Source organism: Homo sapiens, chromosome 18 (assembly GCF_000001405.40).
Source record: "Homo sapiens chromosome 18, GRCh38.p14 Primary Assembly".
Lineage (NCBI taxonomy): Eukaryota > Metazoa > Chordata > Mammalia > Primates > Hominidae > Homo > Homo sapiens.
In genome coordinates, this window is record NC_000018.10 from 9,920,629 (window position 1) to 9,939,600 (window position 18,972).

Below are 18,972 nucleotides of genomic sequence, written 5' to 3' on the forward strand. Positions count from 1 at the left end.
CACACTGCTGCTGGAACTACGCTTTGGAAAAAGGAGGCTGTTACTGTTAGTCCCTTGATTGAAGAACTCTAAATGTTTTCTTACTATGTACTTGAAAAATCCAAAATCCACTGCCTAACTCTCCAGCCTCAGTGTCTATTCTTTTTCTTCTGTCCATAACTTTGGCTATATGAAACCATTTTCCCAAACACTCCAGGCCACTGCAATGCTTTGCACAGGCTCTGCTTAGAATATTGTCCTCCCTCACGTCTGTCAGGCAGCCTCTTATTTCAAGAATCACTTCCTCTTGAGAAGTCGTTGATACTCTACCAGTCCAAGTTGGTCAGAGCCTTCATGCCACTGTTGAAGCTTGTGCTTACCTGTAATAACAGTACTTTCACATTAGATAGTAGTTAGGCTTACATATTCTCCCCTCCCAAACTATACTATGAACTCTGAGTATATACCTGTTAATGTTTGTAGTAACAAGTTCTGGCATCATAAAATGATTGCCCAGTAAGTGTTGATTGAATTAATAAGACTCAGATGATTTCTCCAGTAATTTTTATTTTTTGGTCTTGGATCTTGACTCAGTTGGAGTTTTCACCTGCTTTTGCAGGTAATAGTGCTTTCAAAATTTTGTACTTCCAGAAAAGGGGTGGTAGGCTATTTTGTAAAGAGCTGACTAACCCTAAAGGTAGGTTGTTTGATGTTTGTGTTTTTTTCATTTGTAAAGTAAGAGGTTAGGACTAGGTGATTTCTTGGGTGTTCTGTCTTTAAAAGTTTGTGTGAATATATGACAATTGAGTACAAAAAGAAAATGCTATTTTTCTGTGAAGCAGAAAAATGCATATAAAGAATAGGGAAAACTATACTTTTAATCCTTTAAAAAGATTTCATTGTGTATATTTGAGGTATACATATAACATGATGTTATGGGATACATATAGATAGTAAAATGGTTACTATAGTGAAGCAAATTGACATATGCATCATCTCAACATAGTTTCTTTTTATCTTACCTTTACTGACCATTTAGTGAAATCTTATTTGCCTTTCAGAGGTGGAAGTTGATACAGGATGGATCTTGCTCTCTTTTGATCATAAAGTTAGTTTTGGAAAAAAATTAAATGTGCGAGAGGACTGTTAACTTGCAAATGCTTGTTTACTGGTTTAATTCATTTTATAACTGAAATGTGACTCAAATTAGTTTTAAATTAGTAAGTTTTAAACGTTTGAAAACTTTCAAACATGAGCACCTTATAATATGAACCTCAGTATGCGTTAATTTAGTAAATTAAATTTAAATATAAATTTAATAATTGACATTTTACTATAATCATACGTGTTTATTTATATATTTTTGTTTGCCTCCATGTTTGTATTTTTTTGCAGCGGTCTCACTCTGACACCAGACTGAAGTGCAGTGGTGCTGTTATAGCTCACTGCAGCCTTGAACTCCAGGGCCCAAGCGATCCTTCTGAGTAACTAGGACTACAGGTGCATGCCACTGTGCCCAGCTAATTATTATATGTTTTATTTTTTGTAGAGACAGTCTTGCTATTTTGCCCAGCCAGATCTTGAACTCCTGGCCTCAAGCGATCCTCCTGCCTCAGCCTCCCAAAGTGCTGGAATTACAGGCATGAGCTACCATACCTGGCCTGCCTCAGTATTTTTAAAACAAATCCTGAATGATAGCATAACATTTCATCCCTAGATACTTGAGTTTGCATTTATAACCAAAAAAGGACATTTTCTTTGCATAATCATGATACTGTTAACACGTAATAACATTAACAGTAATTCTTTGATATCCTCTAATATTTAGTCTATTACAAAGAACAAAATCACACTTAAGAGTTTATTAATGAGCAATCTCAATGGCATAGGAAATCAGGTATACCTGGTCTCACAGGAAGAGGCTGTTTATAATCTAGATTCAAGGCCAGCCAATATATATGCTGGTGACTGACCAGTCAAAATTTTGATGGCTCACCTTGAAACACAACTATAAATAGATGGTTATAGGTTTCAGACCTTCAAGGTCATATGGACTGGGAGACAAAACAGTGGCTAATTTGGACCAGTGGCAAGCAGAAGCAACTAATTGAGAGAAAAAAGGCAGAGAAACGTAGGCAGAGAGGTCTTTTGATCCCAGGAATTAGTTTCTCTTGAATACAGCCTCTTCCTGTGATGCCAGTTATACTTCATTTCCTGTGCCATTGAATTGCTTACATCTTTATGATGAACTCTTCAGTATGGGTTTTTTTAATAATAAAATATTCTTTGCTTAAATGAGATTGAATTTGATATTTTCTGAAGCCATATTTGTAACACATTATTCTTTAACATTTCACTTTATAAAAAATAAATTCTGTAATCTGTTATACATATTTCACTTTGTAATTGTTATTCTGTAACACATATTTCACTTTATAAAAAGTCTAAACTAGTGTCTTCAATGCTTATAAAAGAAACCTCCGTATCATTTTTGCTGACTTATGCATCATTAATATACCATAGCATGCTTAGCTGCTTTTCTCTGGTGTTTGGATGTTCTTTATAACTAGTTATCACTAATGTTTGATACTGTTCTGAAAATTCAGATTTAAAGGAGTGAGAAGTTTAGTTACGTATCTTTTAGCTTTTTAAGGAAATGATTAGATTGAATTACCGTTAAAAAGTAGGGATGTTAATTAAAAAAGAATTGTTGCTATGAGAGGACTTTTAAACTTTTAGCATTTTAAGGAAATGATTAGATTGAATTACCGTTAAAAAGTAGGGATGTTAATTAAAAAAGAATTGTTGCTATGAGAGGACTTTTAAACGTATGTTTATAGTATAACTTGACAAATTTCTCATGGGCCTATGTTTTGACAGCTCTTTTGTAGCTGTATGTTTCATGTATGTGTGTATATGTGTGAAGTGTATATGAATATGTATATAATTTTAATTCTTGAATAATATGACATGGAGTGACTGTCATACTTTAAAGACATAGGGTGCCTTTAAATCATACAGTGTTTCCTGTTTAGTTTTTCCTGTGAAAAAATTTTACTTTTTAAAGCCTGTAGGGCCAGAATCTCTTGGTCTTGTTTTCTGAGTACTGTTCCCACTGAGAAAAACCTCACTAACAACAGATCCCCAAAAAATCTGTGGTTCTGAATTTTTTCAGTTTTTTCTTCCAGGATTTTACAAGTAAGAGGATTTATAAGCAAATTAAGCTACTATGGGTACATGTTTAAAAGTCCCTTGTTATATAAAATCAGTGCTAAATTAGAAAATGGAAAAAGTATAGATATTATAAAGCTGTCTATGGCCATACCACCCTGAACGCGCCCCATCTCGTCTGATCTCGGAAGCTAGCAGGGTCTGGTTAGTACTTGGATGGGAGATATTATAAAGCCAATAAAAATTACTCAATCTCACAAAATAACCTCTGTTAACATTTTGATAAACTTTTTATAGCTATGCTGTGTATAATTATATATTTGTATTTTGTATGTTTTTAGTTAAGATTATTGTGATCATTTTTTCATGTTATATTTTCCCCTAGCAAAAACTTTAGATCTAAATAATAAAAAAAAAAGTTTGTTTCAGGTTCTCTGAAAATGTACCTTCTTTTCTATTTCTTTACATCCTACCTGTCTAGAATCCAAAAACTTAAACTTTAGATGTGGACCGCTCGTTTCTATTTTAATCAAGATGTTAAATTATTAGTAAGTAGCATGCACTAATTTCACGTTCATTCTTGAACACTAACATTGTTCTTTTACAAATAATTTACGTATGTGTACATCTTATTGTTCTTTGGAAGTTTAGAGTGGAGGGACATAAAATTGGTATGAAATGTTGCAAATCAAAGTGTTCCACTTCTGTGTTAAGACTATTGTTTATTTTCTCTGCCTTGTTTTCAAGATTATGTCACCAGGATTGTTTAGGTCAGACTGAGCAGTGTATGCATCAGAATACCTTAAAAAGCACTCCTAAAACGTTTAAGGTAGTTTTTTAAGATGAAATGTCAATAAAGCTGTGATGGGTTTAAGATTGAATTATCTCCCATCTTTACCACCGGGTAGAAGACGTTCTTTAAGGTGGTAAGTAAAGTTAATCACAATGTCACATGACATGAGAGAAGCCTTAGAGATCATTTTGCCTACAAATTCTAAAATGAAGCAGGTTAGACTGGGATAGAGAGGGGAAGTGATTTACCCAAGGTCCATCAGCTAGGTAATGGTTTTAGCTGTTAAGCCTCAGATTGAACATACTACATTATGCTTTTTTTTTTTTTAAAGTCATAGTATAACATCAGTAACAAAAATGAGCATCTCCCTTGCCCCAGAAGGCTGCCAAAAGAATGGAAAGAAGTGTTTTCATTTTTTATTTAGGTACGTGTTTATGTAAAGGTGATGGATGAGTATTTATACGACCAGAACAATACTACACTGTATGAAAATGGTGTAAAAGAAGTAAAAGACATGGTCCCTTCCGGTTGGTAACTTTTTCATACTGTAATTTTAGGCTCCCAGAATGGGAATACTGGTTTATAAAAAATGATTACATGACCATATTAAGTGGATTTTGGAGAGTTTTCATGATACATTCTGAAACTGTTGATTGTATAGTATGGATAAACTGATTGTATAATATGATTGTATAATATGTTTGTATAATTGTATAATATGATTGTATAATATGGACAGTGAGGCAATTTCAGTAATTAAAGCCCTTAGAGGCTTAAATAAAATAGTGCAGTCTTGCTTTTCCATTAATCTCAGGATCCATACTTTTATGATGTTAGTGAAATCTTATGAAGAGATATGTTTTAGTGCTTCAATGACTAAGTTTTTAAAAATAGAACTAAGACTCATTTTTTTTCCCAGAAAGTATTACTCTATTTGTACAAAAATATTTATACAAAAATATTTCTTCAGTACCTACTACACCAGGCATTGTGTTAGTTGCTGGGGATACAGCAGCTAACGAAACAAAGACCTATTCATGGAGCTTACATCAAGTCTGATATTTAAATGTGTTTGAAAAAAACATACAGTAAGGGTAAATTCAAGTGACATCATTTAAAAAATTTGTAATAAGAATGTTTTAGGGCTTTCTTGGATGTAAAAATGTAAAATATTTTTTGAGTGCTTGATACTTATTTCAGGAAGTGTTCAGTGTTGACCTGTGTGACCAAGAGAAATACAATATCAATTTAAAAATCTTTTTCATATATTGCTAATTTGACTGCACTTTCATGCTTTATTGTGGCAGAAGTCTACCTGGAATACTTATGAATTAGAAAATAAATACCGTTTGGTTATACGTACAAAATTTATGAGAGTTCAGGCCCTAGAGTCAGACCTGGTTTGACTTCCCACTTTCATTGCTTTGAGTTATATGACCTTGGACTACTGTTTACCTTCTAAGTTGAATCATTTGTAAACTTGGTATATTAAAATGTAATGAAAGTATCTACTTCATGGACTTGTGAGGGTTAAATAACATAGTTCATACAAAGTTATTGATACATGAGTGCCCAATAAACGCTAGCTGTTCCGTTAGTAGATATTCTGTGTACTATATAGTATTAATATATGTTTTGTATATATGATTACCTTAACATGATGCCACAGATACTCAGCAGCATAACCCTTGTGTAACTGGGAAACAGTTTAATCAGTGATACAACTTAATTAGCTAAAACCTGTTAGAAACATTGAAGGTAGTCATCACCTGCATTGCTGTGGCTACATTGTTTGTGTATTTGAGCAGAGCACCCAGCCTTCCTCATTAGTCTGCACTGCATAGCTAAGAATTTACAAAGACCTTGTCAAGAACTGTGAAGGGACTGAAAATTTAGCCTGCTGCAGTTTTGTAGATGTTGGTAGAAGACATGAGATTTCCTGAGTTAGACAGTGGACATCATTGTTCATGGCACTGCAAGTGGAATGGGCTTTATATTTGTGTTGTTTTCCTTGCCCTCCTCAAGTTCCATGGAGGTGACAGAGGTGTTCGGGTAGATGCTACTCACATAGTGAGTTTGCATCATAACTAGAAACCCTGAGCTTAGAGAACCGGAATCTTTCATAGTGGGCTGCACAGAAACCTACCTGACCTTTGTTCCAGTAGAAGACCTTATCTTGATTATATTGGTCAGTGAACAAACCTGCCCCTCTCCTCAGAAGGGAGGTGTTGTCTTCTAAGACAGTTCACTATTTAATACATTCTTGAAAAGATAGCCTGGGTAAAAACCCCCAGGACTACTTCTTGCAAGATGTGCAGAAATGCTAGAGGCCCATGGAGAATTGTCTCCTAAACACACCTCTGAGTAACTAGCCTAAATGGGGGTCACAGAGTTCATAAATTAATGTTCATGTGCATTGTCTGTTTATTCTTAAGTTACATTTTAGAAGTGTTTTCTGTTTTCTGAAATGCTCTGTGTGATATACTACTGCTTATCCCATATTAAAATTTTATTCTCTTAACAGAAAACAAATACTAAAGTTGATATGCATACTGAGATGTTCAGGAGTGACTATATTGGTGTCTTCAGCTTAGTTTGATGTGCATCAAAAATTAAGTGGATGTCTGGACAGGGCAGATAGATATGCTGCAAAGTAAATACAGCAAAATGTTCATCGTAGAATGTGAGTGATGAGTGTATGAGTGTTTATATAATTATCTCAACTTCTTTGTCAAATTTTTCATAATAAAATGTTGGGGGAAAAGCTAGCTGTTCCCCTCCTCCACAATTGATTCTCTTTGCAGCTGAACTCAACTCAGCCTTTCAAGGTAACTTTGTCATCAGTAGTTCACATCAAAATATGGATGAATGATAACAGTTTTTAAGAACTGTTACAGTGGTTCTTTTTTTTTTTTTTTGATAGCTCTTCTTAGCTTAGTGGGATTCCTTTTAAGACTGGGTGGTTTGGAGAATAAAGGTCCCGCTATTTAAAAGGAAGTCATTGTTCTGAATGGTTGAATTTTACACATATGGACTGACTAAAAAGGGTATTTCCTGCTGGAAAAATGTTTTTAGGCAAAGGAGGCAGGCCAGTCTCACTTGACTGACTTTTGGGTGAGCTGCCTTAAAATTTTCTAATATTTTTGACATGTCAGGCTCTAAGTTTTTTTAAAACTTATGTTCAGACTTTTTTACTCAAAGGCCACATTTATGTATGTGTTACATTTCTGTTTGATTGTAAAAATTTGGGACTAGGAGTAGGATTTTGGCTTAATGGCAGTGACAGCTGTAGAGGAGTTGGGACAGAATACTTAGTGGCAGGAAATGGTAGGGCTTCCAAAGAACAACAGCCACATAATTGAAAGGTAGAAGTATTTTAATTGTAGATTTTTTTCAATATAAGAGTGCAAATAAATGTAACGTATGCAGTTTTCTTTTTTCATATGGGATAGTTCATTATAAACAGTGACATATCTCTAATATAAGTTTCTATCAATACTTTTGATTAAAATGGACTAGTTAAAAAATTGTTTCCTAAATGTTAAACTAAGCATTCATATTGGGCAAATGATAGGATTTCCCTGATTTATAGGGATTAAGTTTTAGAAATCCTCTAAACCTATTTATTACATAAATTGCATCAGATGTTCACTTTGTCATCAAAACTGCTTTTCACTGTTTTTTCAATTTTTCAAGGTTATTTCAAGGATCAGTTTTTCTGAAAAAACATTTTTATTGTTTTTCGTAAATAAAAGATATATACAGTTCAAGGAATTATCAAAAGTTAAATACTCATATAATCACCTCCAGGGTTAGAAATAGAACTTGGCTAGCATTCGGCAAAGTGCTCCTTTTACCCTCTCCCAGTTACTTCCACTGCAGGATTAACCATTATCCTGACTTTTATGGTGGCCACTTGTTTCTCTTGATGGTTTAATCACCTAAGGCTTACAAAGGATACATTTTCAATTAGTGAAGCAGATTATTGGTTTAATTCAGGGGTTCTTAACTCTAACTTCATAACTCATTTTTATATTTTGTAATGCTATTGCTATCCTGAAATGAAATGCATATATAAAATGACCAACATATGTAATTAAAAATGTTAAAATATATTTGCCCTAGCTATAACATAAGGGGAAAAAAAGGAAGTAATTTTATAATGGAATGCTCATTTTAAGTGTAAATGTTTGGGCGTGACTACACTAGAAGACATAATGAAGTAGTCAGATACTTGTACCCTACTTAAGTTTGTAGGTACAGTAGTCAGATGTTTGTATCTACTTAAGGTGAGTAAGTTTGGATTTAAGAGAAATAAGAGTTATCCGAGTAGTACTGACAGTTTTCTTAACATTGTTAAAAGGGCAAAATAAGAATATGCCGTTTTAGGGCATATAGGTAGATTCATGTGAATATAGGTAGATTCATGTGAATGTGTTACCTACAGATGCCTGCTGACTAATTCAGATGTGTTGTATTGGTGATTCAGGTATGATGAGTGGCATTGCTATTGTTAGAATAGTCTTCAGTAATAGTGAACTCACCTTTTAACATTTTGAAGAAAAGAGTACACATTTTTCCTGTTCACGTAATAGATGAATACTTGGAAAAGAGGTTTTTCACCAATATGAATTTCTGGAGGAGTATTTGAAAATTCGGTGCAATGGGAACATAGTACTTCATTGTGTGGGTCTGCATTGCAGAATGTCTACCGTCCTGTTTCCTGCCCCCACCCCCTGCTCCTAATGAAAGGAGCAGTTACCACCTAAAGGGTTATGTTTGTAGCACTTTCAGTAAAGAATATAACTTCTCTTTTTTGAAGATCTTAAGGTAGATTTCTTCATCAGGCCTTTTAATCAGCAGCTCCTGGCGGGGTGGGGGTACATGATACAACCCCTCCATCCCTGAACTCAGCTCTCCAACTCATTTTACCTTCCATAAAAGTCAATGTAAAATGTTTTTGAATATTTACCTATGTATGTTTTTATGAGGTGGGATATGGCTTTCGTCAGGTTCTTAAAGGATTCTGTGACTCACAAAAGTGGACCAGATATTTCTTTCCGTGACTTTTTTAAGCTATTAAATCTGGTTATTCCTTTGCTAATGGTCATCAGTACTTGATAATTTTCTATTTTAAACTAGGAAAGGGGCTCAAACTCTTAGCTATCTGCTGGGAGCAACCCTCATTGAGAGGCTAGAGGGATACAATGGAGCAGAAAATCTCAAATTCAGTAGTTAAGTGGGTTTATTATAGATAATTCTACGTTTTACTCGCAAGTTAACATGTCCTGTTAAGAATTTAGTTTTGAATGGGTGAGGTGTATTTCTTTTGATATATTATCATCATCTTTAGATAATTTATATTTTTATGTCTAGAAAGCCCACTATCTGTATTGACAATTTATAATCCCTGGTGGGCAGTATCGTGAAATGTAAATACTATTTCAGAATTCGTACAACTCTTGTAGAGTTTGTTGATGAAAACTGACCCACAGTCATTTTAAAAATCAGTTTAAAAAATTATTTTACCTTAGTTTGGATAATTGGTACTTTTTAAAATTGGGGAGAATTAAATTAATAAAACATTTAATTCTAAAAACTTACATAATTATGTTATGAAAATACATAAATATGTAATTAAAATAATTAGGCATTCACTATGGATTAGGATTGTTCAAAATTAAAATTTTGTGACATGTCTTTTTGTCATGTTACTAAGAAATTGGATCTTTATTTTAATCTGTGATTGCTACTAATGTTAAAGTCCTAGTCAAAATAGTCCTATAACATTTTACATTTTTAAGCGTTTGTAGTAATTATGGGTTTGAGAATGTTAAGAAATGGAATTTGCCTTTAAGACTTCTAGTTTTATCAGTTCAAAACGTATCTCCAGCCAGCCATTTTGTGGATTCATGTAGTGAAATGGACACATTGGAGTTTTCGTCTTTACTCTCATACTAGTTTTATGGTGGAGTTTTTAATCAGATGCTTTTCAAAAAGATAATGGAAGCTCTTGGGGTTGAAGAAGCAGCAAGGGTTGTATGTTGTAAATGGAATGATTAGTTTGACCATATAATGAAACAAGCAGTTCAGAAGATCATACTTTGTCATATGTATGCTTTTTTTTTAAAAAAAAAATGCAGACCTGTTAGTTATATTAAAATGCTTTCTTTTCTATAACTGGTTCTCTGCCTTTCTATGCTTGCTTCTAATTTTCACTCATTTTTATCTCCTTCCTCTCATCCTAGTTCCAAATTTTTATTTATTAGAAAATATTTTACTACTAACAAACTTTAAGCATAGCATAAAATCATTTTGCTTCTTAGGGCTTGAAATAAGTGTCTTTTAATGACTTTGTAAAATTTTAAAAGACATGCTTATTCTTAAGATTGAAATAAAGAAAAGAGAGCCTTTATAATAGTTGTCTTTGATTCCAGCCTTCTAGCTTTTTTAAAAAATACATAACTTTAAACGAATTGTTTTTAGAACGATTTAAAATTACTTTTGGAATACTTAGAACTGTGGTTATTGTTCCCAACTGGAACATGTTTTTATGTTCTTCCTCCAAATTAACAGGTATTTATTTTGTTGTCTAAATTAATCTGCATAATTTTTCTTCAGGCTTTTCTTCAGCAAAATGGATCAGCCTTTTGGGTTCTTTGTTTTGTAATTTTATGTTGTTTGGGTGCAGAACCAAAGCTTAAAAACTTTGTATCTAGAGCATATGGCATAATAAACACTTAACAAATATGTGAATGAATGAATGGATTGAATGAATGAACAAACAAAATTGAGGTGAAGCAAAAGCACTGATGTCATAGGGTGTAGGGTCTTCAGATGTAGAGATTTTTGCAGTTGGCCTAGTAAAATGAACTTGAAGATTGACACTGGTTTGCAGACAACTGGGAAATTCTGTTATTTTCAGCAACGTATTAACAACATACTGTAAAAATACAGTTGTAAAGTTCATAGATCCAAAGTTTCATAGTACTTTTTTGATAGAAATCATACATGTTTATGGTAGAAATTTTGTGAAATACAGGGAATGAAGAAGAAAATATGACTTGTTTTTAAGTCTGCCACCTCGAGAAAGGCAGTGTTAGTAGCCATTTGGGATATTTATGCCTACAAATGTCAGCACTTAATTAAAATTGAGGTTATATATTTTCAGTTTTGAATCCTTCGTTGTTGAGAATCCAATTAAATTTTGTTTTCTCTTTAATTTTTAAACTTTACAGGCCCCTTCACAGATGTAGTCACTACAAATCTTAAATTGCGAAATCCATCGGATAGAAAAGTGTGTTTCAAAGTGAAGACTACAGCACCTCGCCGGTACTGTGTGAGGCCCAACAGTGGAATTATTGACCCAGGGTCAACTGTGACTGTTTCAGGTAGCAAATCATGTTCTGAATTTATGTACATTTGAATTTTGACCTTTTATGATTATGTTTTTGTTTAATAAGGTTTCATCTGGAGGGAGGGAAATAATTCTTATATTATTCTGGTTTTGCCTTTAAAGATGTCTTGTTACAGTACTCTGCAAGCTGTTTCAGAAAATTTCTCACTCATCTTCTGTGTAGGGAGTGTGGTCAGTTTATAAGAAATTATTGTCAATTACAAACTTTAGTCTTTATTTCTACAGCTAACCACTACCTTCTCTGCCTTTGTTATTTTATCTTTGAAAAATTATATCATTTTTCTGATGGGTCATTCTCCTTCAGATCATGATCATATTACACATTGCATGCAGCTATAGAAGTGTCATAATTCTTTTGCTTAAAAAGGTGCAATGCCACTTTTTTGCCTACTGTGTCAAATCAGATGAGTCTTTATGCCTTTCATTGTAAATGTCAACAGTGTCCTGTGTGTGAAAACTTTATTTTTATTTTACTACTCTCTTATGTGTTTACTTGTCAAAGAAGTATGCTTGCCATATATGGATTACTTACTCCTGCTGTGGAGTTGATACTGGTACCATATCTAATGCCCCCTATAAACTGTTTCTTTCTTTCTCAGTCCCTCTGACTTCACTAATATAGCTGAGAAATAGGAAATAGGAAGTAAATATGAGAACTTTTATGGTTCCATGTATTTTACTTAGGGGAGAACCTCTCAGGCTGCATTTACTCTTTCTTTACAGCAGTACTTCTCAACTCCCACTATATGCTGTAATAACACAGGGAGCAGGAACACACATGGATTCATCTCTCCCAGATTGGAATCTCTAGGAGCATGACTTAGAAATGTTACATTTAGGCCGGGCGCGGTGGCTTATGCCTGTAATCCCAGCACTTTGGGAGGCCGAGGCGGGTGGATCACGACGTCAGGAGTTCAAGACCAGCCTGGCCAAGATGGTGAAACCCCATCTCTACTAAAAATACAAAAAATTAGTCGGGTGTGGTGGTGGGCGCCTGTAGTCCCAGCTACTTGGGAGGCTGAGGCAGAGAATTGCTTAAAACCAGGAAGTGGAGGTTGCAGTGAGCGGAGACTGCACGAGTAAGACTCCGTCTCAAAACAAACAAACAAAAAAAGTGTACCTTAAAAAAAAAAAAAGCCTGGGTGATCTTGATAAGTAATCCTAAGATATTATAATAATTCTGTATCAGTTTTCAAGTCCACAGCAGAATTGGGTACAGAGAGAGAGAACCCAGGGTAGGCTCATTGAGAGAGTATTTAGAGGTGGAGCCTGACTACAAAGGCCATGAAGGACAGACCATAGAGTTCTTGGTGACACTAAATCTTCCCTCAGCAGGTATAGCCAAAAACCTCAAGAGCTAGGAAAAAGATGTTTTAGTGAGTCTTGCGGTAAGGAGGCCTGGGAGGAGTGCTTTTCATGTTTCTTTGCTAAGTCTAATTCATCAGTTCCTGGGAAAGAGAGATGGGAAATAAAGATGAAGGAATGCATGCACTCTGCATGTTGCTGCTTTCTACTACATCTTTAAGCCTTTAGCACAATTGGAAGAAGAGAGAATTCTTTCTTTTTTGAGACAGTGTCTTGCTTTGTTGCCCAGGTAGGAGAGCAGTGGTGTGATCTCAGGTGACTGCAACTTCCGCCTCCTGGATTCAAGTGATTTTCCTGCCTCAGCCACTTGAGTAGCTAGGATTACGGGCGTGTGCCAACATGCCTGGCTCATTTTTGTATTTTTAGTAGAGGCAGGGTTTCACCATGTTGGCCAGGCTGGTCTCGAACTCCTGACCTCAAGTGATCCATCTACCTTAGCCTCCCCAAATGCTGGGATTACAGGCGTGAGCCACTGCGCCTGGCCAGAAGATATAATTATTTCAATCCACATGGCTAAAAATAGTTTATTGGTACAAACAGTTATATCCCTAGGAATCCATACAACTATGCAGAATGACTTTTTCTTTGAGGGGCCTAGATTGCTGGTTTCTGTGTATTAATATTTCTTGAGAAAACAACGTATCAAAACACTTTCTCCCACAGAAACCTGACTTATTAAAACCTTCAGACAAACTGGTTACTGATTACGCAAACATGCCCTTGGATTGTTCTACTTAATTAGAATTTGGCTTTTCCAGTTTTTAGTGTAGTGTATTTCCATTTACAGTCACTCAAAGCTATGCTTCTTCCAACAACCTTCTCTGGTTAATTCTCTGTACTACATGCTCATTTCTCTTTTTCCCTGTGTCCTTTTGACGCTTTGTTTTTTGAATTTGCTTCAATTTGTGCACATTTTTATATATGTTTTCAAGATCGTCTTTGTCTTGTTATGTGGTCTGCAACCTAAATTAGAGTATAACTCCTATAAACTTAACCATGTTGTAAGTTTTCGTTTTATTCACAAATTTTTGGTTCATAGTGATTAGCTTATAATCATTAACTCAGTGAAGGTTGCTAATGGAATTTTATTTAGCTTAAGCTGTATTCTGAGGCATTTTATCCAGTACATTTCCTGCTGCTGTGTATTTGGCCCCTTGAAAAAGTTGTCTTAACCTTGATAGCAGTTAATGGACTTCTCAGACACACCTTATGAATAAGACTTTATTACATAATTATTTCTTACATTTATTTACCCGTGTTTATCTTTTTGAAAGTGTAGAGATATATCTTAGAAATAATCTAAAGTTAGGGAAATAATTTCTATAATGCCATGTACATATTTTGTGTAACTGTTGATTGATTCTTTGTATAGTCTGTTATATTGGACTCATGTTACATAAATTTAGCATGACTTACAACCACATGGAACCTTAGAAAACTTAAAAGACGAGAAATTATAAATGCTTAAAAATTGCTCACGCCTGTAATCCCAGCACTTTGGGAGGCTGAGACGGGCGGATCTTGAGGTCAGGAGATCGAGACCATCCTGGATAACACGGTGAAACCCCGTCTCTACTAAAAATACAAAAAAATTAGCCGGGCATGGTGGCAGGCGCCTGTAGTCCCAGCTACTCGGGAGGCTGAGGCAGGAGAATGGCGTGAACCTGGGAGGCAGAGCTTGCAGTGAGCCGAGATTGTACCGCTGCACTCCAGCCTGGGCGACAGAGCAAGACTCCGTCTCAAAAAAAAAAAAAAAAAAACTTAAAAATTTTGAATGTTATTGAGACTGTAGAATAAATTTTAGAACTCAAGAGGCTATATGGTTTCCTTGTGTACTTTTGTTTTCTTAGAAGATTTAAATAAATTCATAAACTCTGAAATAGATGTTTATTTAAAATACAATTTTGAAAAATTAATTATATTAAAACAATATATGGGCTGGGTGCTGTGGCTTACGCCTGTAATCCTAGCACTTCGGGAGGCTGAGGAGGGCGGATCTCTTGAGCCCAGGAATTCTATACCAGCCTGGGCAAAATGACGAAAACCCTTTCTCTACAAAAAAATACAAAAATTAGCTGGGCATGGTGGCATGTGGCTATAGTCTTAGCTATTTAGGAGCCTGAAGTGGGAGGATTGCCTGAGCCTAGGGAGGTTGAGGCTACAGTGAGCTGAGATTGCGCCACTGCACTGCAGCGCAGCCTCAGCCACAGAGTGAGACCCTGTTTTAAAAAACAAAAAACAGATGGTAGTGAGGTTTTAAGTTACTGAGTATTTCTCCTTTAAATATCTCAGTTGTATAATTTTAAATCAGAAAACACTAAAATGAAGCCTAAATTCATAGTTTTAATAACTTATATTTAATCTGAGCTTATAGGCATTATAGTTAACGTTGGCAAAGTTTTGAAAATTTTCACAAGCTGAGTTTAGAAAGGGCAAAATCATAGATTCATATTTAATTTTTAATTGTAATTGTTTATTTTGTTGGTTGTGCAAAACTTAGTAAATTAGAAAGACAGACAATTTAAAAATACTTGGGATCCATTAAGTTGATTCTTAAACATTCCAGTGTTTGGTTTCTTGAACCCTTCTTGGTTTTTTTTAAATTTGCATATTTGTGAAGTAGTAGGAATGATACTATTGCCAGATACGGTTTAAGGCAAATCCCAGACTTAGTATAATTTAATCTGTAACTGTTTCAATGTATGTCTTTCAGACATGCAGGAGACAATATAATATATCCTTTTTTTCTTATTTAGTAATGCTACAGCCCTTTGACTATGATCCGAATGAAAAGAGTAAACACAAGTTTATGGTACAGACAATTTTTGCTCCACCAAACACTTCAGATATGGAAGCTGTGGTAAGTATAGAAGAAGAATTTGTTTTGGGAAGTGGAGTTTAAACTGTGGGTGTTGTTTAGCAGTCAGTAGAAAAACTTAATTTCTAAAAACTAAAAGTTAAATTTAGGTTTTTAAAAAACTGCCAATTTCTTCATTATAGATAATCCTAACTTAAAGAATGAAAGAATTTTTAAATAGTATTTTTTTTTAGAAACAATTTAGAAATGCTGCTACTGGCCTGGTGCAGTGGCTCACACCTGTAATCCCAGCCCTTTGGGAGGCCAAGATGGGAGTATCTCAAGCCCAGGAGTTCGAGACCAGCTCAGGCGACATGACAAGACCCTGTCTCTACAAAAACAAACAAACAAACAAACAAAAAACAAAAAAAACCACCACAACAAAAATGAGCTGGGTATAGTGTTGGACGCCTGTAGTCCCAGCTACCCAGGAGGCATGGGAGGATTGATTGCTTGAGCCCAGGAGGGGCGACTGCACTCCAGCCTGGGAAACAGAATGAGACCAACTGGAAAAAAAGAAAGAAATGCTAAGAAGAAAGTCCTATGGTTGCTAGTAATATCATCGTGATTTTAATGGATGGTGATAGTAACTAGGATTATATAAAGGTTCTGTGACATTAGCCGATAACAATGGCAGGGTGATCAATAAAGAGTGCACCAGTGTGTTTCAGCCAAGCCAGGCAGCTTCACTCATCTTTTAGCTGTCCCGTGAGGTGAAACTTACTTACCATGATCATACCTCCTATGTCTCATGTTTGGTTTTGTTTATTTTTAGTGGAAAGAGGCAAAACCTGATGAATTAATGGATTCCAAATTGAGATGCGTATTTGAAATGCCCAATGAAAATGATAAATTGGTAAGTAGGAGAATGTAAAAAAAATTGGGAGCTGTTGAGCTCTCAGTTCCTTTGATTAATTTTGCTTTTATTTTTGACCTTTGAGGTATGTGTGATATGGCTATTACACTTCATAAGACTCAGTGGTTAAGTTTTAAAAAACTTGGTATGCCTTTTTTTTTTTTTTTTTTAAAGTAACATTTTGTTTATCCAAGAAGAAAGAAAGACTCACTTTTAGGTCAAGACTGCATCCTGGAGAAGAATCATTTAAGTCTACCAGATTTTTTGTGACGTAAACCACTGCAGGTTCTTTTTTAGAATGAGATGTGTATACATAATTTAAAAATACATATAAATTGCTTTTTGGCCACTATGTACCGGCAGTTTGGGGATAAATTCACTTACATGGACAGTTTATTCCAGGTTTAGTTATTCCTAGGTATTTTGCTCACTTTTGTTTTTAGTCAAATCCATCTGATTGTATTCTTTAGTAAATAATTATTATGTTGCTTACTCATTAGTGTAAGTCTAATACAATTTGGGGGACTGAGGGATGTATTTGTTTATTCAAAAACAAACAAAAAATAGTCTGTGAATGTACCGAGTGGGTTGTAGTCACTTACCTTGTCCATTTCCCTGTCTGGATTGCAAATTTGAATCTTTTCCTATGGTGAGAGAGACTTGAAAGATAAATTTTTCTGTGTGTGTATGTGACTTAATACATACAATAATATGGATAAATAGAATGGTGTGGCACAATTTGGTTACAATCTGACATGACTACTGCCTTAATCTAGTGGCCATTTGCTCTATTGAAAAGTAAACATGCAGATTAAATATGTGGGCTCAGTTATTGTGTTCCTCTTTCAGGATAAGCAGAAATGAAAAGGTCTCTGGTAATTAGGTGTTGACCAAATTATATTTTGAATTTTTAAAATGCCTCTTTTAAGTGATTTTTGAGGTATTTGCCAAAAGCAAAAAATTGTGAACACATGTATTCTCTGTGGAAAGTGAGTGTTAGATGGCCTGTGTATGCTTCCCATTTGGAGGTTTTCTTTTTTGCTTAGGCGGAGGGAAGCTAATAGCTTGCCCAGCTCTTACTGTTGAAACCAAGAAAACAAAACAGCATGTTGTCTGGATTGACTTTTTAAAAAAAAATTTGGATATTTTCTCACTGAGAGTTTTATGTCATTTTTTACAGTAATTCGGTCAGCGTAAATCTATCTTCTATCTGGGCTTCTACTGTGCTCTGGATAGCACACACTTTGAGATGTGTGAAAAGGATTGGAACCCCAGGTATTTGATACTGCTGATTAAGAGTAGCTCTCACTGGTTTAGAAACCAAACCAGAAGTTGATGGGAATGATACGGCAATGACAGTTGAACCTCGCCATTTACACATCTTGGGTGAAAAGAGCAGTTATGCCTACCTATTGGTCTAGCCCATAGTTATCCAAGAAAGTAGTTTTGGGTCTGTTTTAGCGCTTGAACAAATACTGAATGGAGTTCCCAGAATCCCCTGCGGTGGAACTCGAGCAGGAGTAGTTTGAGCCTGGAACCTTTTCAGAGCAGGTATTACTAGTAACCTAAAAGCTGTTAAGTAACTTCAAAGTACTTTAGAGAATATCTGAGTCTGAACCTTGATTAGCTAGCTGCAGAATGTATTTTCACTAATTGGATTATCTGGACTTGTATATTAAATTGTAGGAAATATCTGCTAAAGATAATTTTTAAGATTTATTTTGAAAACTTAGAAGCACCTAGAAGAGTAGGTAGGAGGAGTACAGTGAACCTCTGTGAACTTATGAGCAGCTTTAACAATGACTAGTTTGTGGTTAAGCTTATTATATATAAATCCTGTTAATTCTCATCTTAGGTATTGTTTAAGGCAAATCCCAGACTTGGTATAATTTAATCTGTAACTGTTTCAATGTGTATTTTTCAAAGTACTTTAAAAAAAGAGATAAAAGAGTTTTAATGACAATACTGTTACTATGCCTTTAAAAATTTAGTATATCCTTAATATCAAGCTGTCCAGACAGCATTAAAACTTGTCACAAATGTCATTAAAATTTTTTTTTCTGCAGTTTGTTTGAATTAGATGAAAATAAAGTCCAAATAGTTCTTCTTTTTTTTTTTTTTTTGAGACGGAGTCTTGCTCTGTTGCTCAGGCTGGAGTGCAGTGGCACGATCTTGGCTCACTGCAACCTCTGCCTCCCGGGTTCAAGCAGTTCTCCTGCCTCAGCCTCTCTAGTAGCTGGGATTACAGGTGCACGCCTGGCTAATTTTTGTATTTTTTGTAGAGACGGGATTTTGCCAGGTTGGTCTCAAACTCCTGACCTCAGGTGATCCACCTGCCTTGGCCTCCCAAAGTGCTGGGATTACAGGTGTGAGCCACCCTGCCTGGCCAAGTCCAAATACTTCTATTGGATGATACGTTTCTTAAATCTCTTAGTTTGTTACGTTTCCTCTCTTTTTTTTTTTTTTTTGCAAATTATTGAATGTTTTTATTATTAAACTAGGTTTGCCTATAGACTTTCCCACAGAATTGATTT

The 18,972-nt window shown here is 35.1% G+C and overlaps 1 protein-coding gene and 1 pseudogene across 8 annotated transcripts in view, besides 1 other annotated feature; both read left to right on the plus strand.

The window, feature by feature from the left end:
• VAPA (VAMP associated protein A) overlaps window positions 1–18,972 on the plus strand; it is a 46,006-nt gene that overhangs the window by 6,613 nt on the left and 20,421 nt on the right. For 2 of the 8 annotated variants that reach the window (XM_047437930.1, XM_017026079.2), the window contains exons 2-5: window positions 6,468–6,626; window positions 11,182–11,334; window positions 15,482–15,585; window positions 16,358–16,438. In XM_047437930.1, coding sequence (XP_047293886.1) covers window positions 6,587–6,626; window positions 11,182–11,334; window positions 15,482–15,585; window positions 16,358–16,438 — 378 coding nt within the window. In that variant the 5' untranslated portion in view covers window positions 6,468–6,586. Of the gene's footprint in view, window positions 1–3,636; window positions 3,699–4,279; window positions 6,627–11,181; window positions 11,335–15,481; window positions 15,586–16,357; window positions 16,439–18,972 lie in introns of those variants that run through there. The other 6 variants (NM_003574.6, NM_194434.3, XM_047437928.1 and 3 more) reach the window with 5 other exon arrangements.
• On the plus strand, window positions 3,292–3,393 carry RNA5SP450 (RNA, 5S ribosomal pseudogene 450; annotated as a pseudogene).
• Window positions 5,884–6,178: a silencer, noted in NCBI's record as "tiled region #12110; K562 Repressive DNase matched - State 5:Enh". NCBI's record gives its function as "represses a minimal TATA promoter and a strong SV40 promoter by Sharpr-MPRA in K562 cells {active_cell/tissue: K562}" and the evidence as "EXISTENCE:reporter gene assay evidence [ECO:0000049][PMID:27701403]".